The 4,850-nt window shown below is 47.4% G+C and overlaps 1 annotated feature.

Moving 5' to 3' along the window:
• Window positions 2,806-3,100: an enhancer, noted in NCBI's record as "tiled region #8647; K562 Activating DNase unmatched - State 12:CtcfO". NCBI's record gives its function as "activates a minimal TATA promoter and a strong SV40 promoter by Sharpr-MPRA in K562 cells {active_cell/tissue: K562}" and the evidence as "EXISTENCE:reporter gene assay evidence [ECO:0000049][PMID:27701403]".

Raw genomic sequence — 4,850 nt, 5'->3', positions numbered from 1 at the left:
AAACCAGGATGAGTTGCTCACCCTACTGCTAGTCAGGCATTCTCCGCTTGTAGCCAGAGGCATAGCCAGATGATGTGAGTATGACCCCCATTTTATAGCCGGAGAAAGGCAGACACAAGAAGCCAAGTGAGCTGAGCACCAAGGATTGCAGTGGCTCCCACCCACAATCCCAGCACTTTGGGAGGTGGAGGCAGGCGGATCGCTTGAGGCCTGGAGTTTGAGACCAGCCTGGGCAACATGGCAAAACCCTGTCTCTACAAAAAATATAAAAAGGAGCCAGGTGTGGTGGTGTGCACCTGTAGTCCCAGCTCTTGGGGAGGCTGAGGCGGGAGGATCACCTGAGCCCAGGGAGGTCGAGGCTGCAGTGAGCCTTATTGCACCACTGCACTCTAGCGTGGGCAAGAGTGAGACACTGTCTCAAAAAAAAAAAAAAAAAAAAAAAGAAGCAAAGTGTTGTTATGCAACTACATAGCCAGTTAGAGGCTGGAATTCGTAATCCAATCTTTTGACCAATCCAGGGCTCTTTGTACAACAACACTCATTTCATGAAGGAGGAGCTATTAGGCCCAGGCACAACACTGACTACCAACTTTAGTGGGTGCTGTATTTGCTCTCCCCAGCATCCATTTCCTGAGTATCTGGTGATGGGCACTGTGACGGAAACTCTAGTGGCCCATCCAACCATCCACTTCCCCCTTTCTCCTTAGTAACAGAGCCCCAGTTTTATCCAGGCACACTGCCACTGGTAATAAAGACTGTACTTTCCAGTCTCCTTTACAACAAGGTGTGTACAGATGAATAAGTCCTGGCCAGGAATTTGTAAGCAAAGTCTCGCAGGGAACTTTGAGAAGCCTCCTTAGAGGAGATGGCCCTTTTTTTTCTTCCTGTTACTGGAACATAGATGTGATTGCTGGATCTCCAATAGCCCTCTTGGACCATTCATTAGGTGACCACAAGGATAAAAGACAAGGACTGAGGGTGGGAGAACAGAAAGATGGGAGCCTGGGTCCTTGAGGACACTTTAGAGCTACCAGTCTTAGACTCCTTCCTCAAAATGGGTGTGGGGATTTTTATAGGCCCAAACAGCAAAGACTCTCTCTCTCTTCCTCTGGGAATACAGAGTCAAGGAATAGAGAGAAAAAAACTAGGTTCTAATGACAACGATAAGTCCCTAGATCCAGCAGTTCCTGAAGACATCCCTTTTCTTGAACTGTTTAGTCATGTTATCTGATAAATTCTCTTTTTACTTAAATTAGTGGGGTTGGGTTTCTGTAATTTTTACTGGCTGATACATACCCAAATCCAAATTAGAAGTCCAGGCAGCGTCCTGTGAACTTCAGCATTTTGCCTTCTGGCCTATCGACACCCTTTACAATAACAGTGTCTTAAACCTGGACTTAGCAGTCTCATCGGCCAAGCACATGGGTCTTTAGGCAGAGACAATCCACAAAATTTTCTTAATTTCGTGGTTTGCTTTCAAGACAGAATAAATTGAGAGATCCAGCAGTCACATCCGTGTTCCAGTAACAGGAAGAACAGAGAAGGGCCCTCTCTCCCACTTGAAGGAGCCACACTGAACAGCCACATACTATTATGTGAGTGGGACAAGCTAGAGCAGCAGAAAGTACGACAAGTGCTGGGACAAACAGAAGGAACGTGGGCTTTGGAGCCAGAGAACTTCAAATTTGATTCCTTGACAAGCCACTGCCTTGCGGTGTGACCCTGGGCAAGTTATTGAACCTCCCTGAACTTCTAGTTCATCCTCTTTAAAAAGGGAACAATAACATCCTCCCTGTTGGAGTGATGTGAAGATTACATGAAACAAAGCAGTACAGAAAGCACCAAGTATCTGGGCCATAGTAAGTGCTCAATAAATAGTAACTATTGTTAATAACGTCACACAAGAACTCAACAGCAACAATGAAAAGGGTCTGTTCAATTAATAGCATACGTAAGATAATGGAATATGCTTTAGCCTTATTTTGTATAACATTTCAAGGGACTTTCACACATTCCTCATTTGCCTGCAAGGCGCGGCTAATTACAAATGCATTCTCACACTTCGCTACAACAGACTTGGCAGCACCACAATTCGGAGATCTTTTCATTAGCAGTTAGGTAATGAATGTGGGGGAACTGCACTGTTGTACAATTACTCGGCATACAGATTGCATCCCTGCTTTCTCCCACCGTGGCTGCCAGAATCCCTGAGCCAGGTGGACGAGTGGCTTCCACTCTGCTGCCAGCCAGCACTGAGTGGTATGATGCACTGGAGCCCGTGCCTGGATCCTGCTTCTACCACACACTAGCTGGGTGGCCTTGAGCTAGTTACTTAACTTCTCTGAGCATTGTTTTTCTCATCTGGAAAATGGAGATGATCACTTTCCTCTGAGGGCTGCGTGAGGATGGAGAGAGAAGTAAATGAGATATGCAGCAAGGTGCCTGGCAAAGAGGATAAATACAGCAATGGTTTTTGTTTTGTTTTGTTTCTTTCCTAAAGCCATTATATTCAGCAGAACTATGTTTCCACATAGCAGAAAATCCAACTGGCTTCTGTACCAAAAAAACACTGGTGAGGGGGGTGGTTGGAGAGAGGTTATCTACAGGTTCACATAGCTGAAAAGCCCAAAGGTCCTGCCAGCTTCAGGGGCAGCTACACTGTGTCATGAGAAGTCAGTTTCTCTCCATCTCACAACTTCTGCCATGTTGGCTCCACCCTTGAGTTCCCTGTGGCGATTCTTGGCAGTTCAAGACTCTCCCCTCATGCTGACAACAGGGCTGCAGCAACCCAGCCTCTCATCTTCTCAAGTTCAAGTTCAATGGGAAAGCACAAGGTATCATTTGGGTAGCTCCTACCTAAGTCCTGGGACTCACTGTGATTGGAGCAGTTTAGACCGTGTGCCCATCCCTGAGCCAATCAGTGAGGCTATGAGAAGGCAGTGCTCTGATTGGCCAGGCCTTGGCCTATTGTCTGAAAGCGGATGAGGGATGAAAACAGTAGAGACCTAGGGGGTGTTCCTCTAGCGCCCTCTACTGAGAAAACTTAACACTGCACTCACTGTAAAGGAATGACGCTTAAAAGGAACTCCGCCCATTACGCAAAGCAGATATTGAAGGGTGACTTTGGAGCTGAGAGGCAATAAATTGATAGCTGACACACACCGTCAAGCCTGGCACTGTTGAGGCATCTGCCTGGTCAGGAGCTGCAGTCAGAGAGAAACTCACAGCTGCAGCCCAGAGCAGGGAGAGAACAGGGAGTAAATTTCCCAGCACCCATCTGCTGCTGGTATCTCCCGTTGCAAACTGAACCAGAAGGCCAAAGGCAGGGCCGAAGCCGGAAGGCAGGGCCCTTGAGTGATGCAATCCCTAAAGTCGGTCTCTCAGGGTAGAGAATGGGTCGGGGGAACAAACAGGTAATATCCAGCTCTGTAGGTACAATCATTATTCCTATTTCACAGAGGCGGCCCAGATAGGATGAGAAACTTGCCAAAGCCACAGCTGACCCAGTTCCACCATGGCTGAGCCGCCCAGTCCTGGAGCCATCCTTCCCAAGCAGCAGTGGGAGGGAGCAGGCCTGGAGGCAGTGCTCCTGCTCTCCAAAAGAACATTCCTAGAAGCTCAAATGCCAACATTGTCCCTTCCGGCAATTTCGACAAACCTGCCTCTACTTGCTCAGGAGAGAATGGGGTGGGGAGAAGTGAAGTGAGTTTTTATTTCAATCTCTTTCCAGCTGGTTGCACAGCAAGAGTTTTCCTCTTCCCTGGGACTGTCTTTCATTTGCACATTGACCAGGTTGCTGCGAGGTGAAAAGAAAGTGAGATAAAAGGAGAAGCAAAAAATGCAAAATGCAAACACATGGTACCCAAGCAGGAGGGACCAAGCAATTGAAAAACAAACTAAATAGCACCTGTGATGGGTGCTGTCTGCATGTGGTGTGTGTGGATTTTTCTTTTAATTTTTTTAAATAACTAGTGTGAGAGAATGTGTGTGGATTTTAAACAAAAATACATTCAGCAGCTGATTTTCACTGCAAGCCTGAGTCCTGGACAGTTCAGTGGAGGGAAAGCTGGCTTGTATTTGCCTTAGGAAATACAGATGTGCTTTTGGGGTGGTCACAACTTCTCTCTCCTAGTTATGGCCGGAAGTAGCTGGTTTGCAATGAGCCTGAGGGTGCTGTCAACTCTTGCTACTCAAATTGTGACCATGGACCAGCGACACCTATGCTACCTGGAAGCTTATTAAAAATGCAGATTCGGCTGAACACAGTGGCTCACGCCTGTAATCTCAGCACTTTGGGAGACCAAGGTAGGAGGATGACTTGAGGCCAGGAGTTCGAGACCAGCCTGGGCAACAGAGTGAAACCCCGTCTCTAAAATAATAATAATTAATTAATTAATTTAGTTTAAAGACAGAAATGTGGCCGGGCATGGTGGCTCACACCTGTAATCCCAGCACTTTGGGAGGCCGAGGGGGGCGGATCACAAGGTCAGGAGATCTAGACCACCCTGGTTAACACGGTGAAACCCCGTCTCTACTAAAAAAAATAAAAATACAAAAAATTAGCCCGGCGTGGCAGCGTGCGCCTGTAGTCCCAGCTACTCCGGAGGCTGAGGCAGGAGGATGCCATGAACCCGAGAGGCGGAGCTTGCAGTGAGCTGAGATCGCGCTGCTGCACTCCAGCCTAGGCGACAGAGTGAGACTCTGTCTCAAAAAAAAAAAAAAAAAACACAGAAATGCAGACTCTTAGTCCCCACCCCAGACCTGAGGGATGAGAGTCTGCATTTCCATAAGAATCCAGGTGATTGGTGCACACAGCGACATTTGAAAAGCTAGTATAAATCCACACTGGT

This window comes from Homo sapiens, chromosome 20 (assembly GCF_000001405.40).
Source record: "Homo sapiens chromosome 20, GRCh38.p14 Primary Assembly".
In the NCBI taxonomy this organism is placed as follows: domain Eukaryota; kingdom Metazoa; phylum Chordata; class Mammalia; order Primates; family Hominidae; genus Homo; species Homo sapiens.
This window is presented reverse-complemented; position numbering and strand designations above follow the sequence as displayed.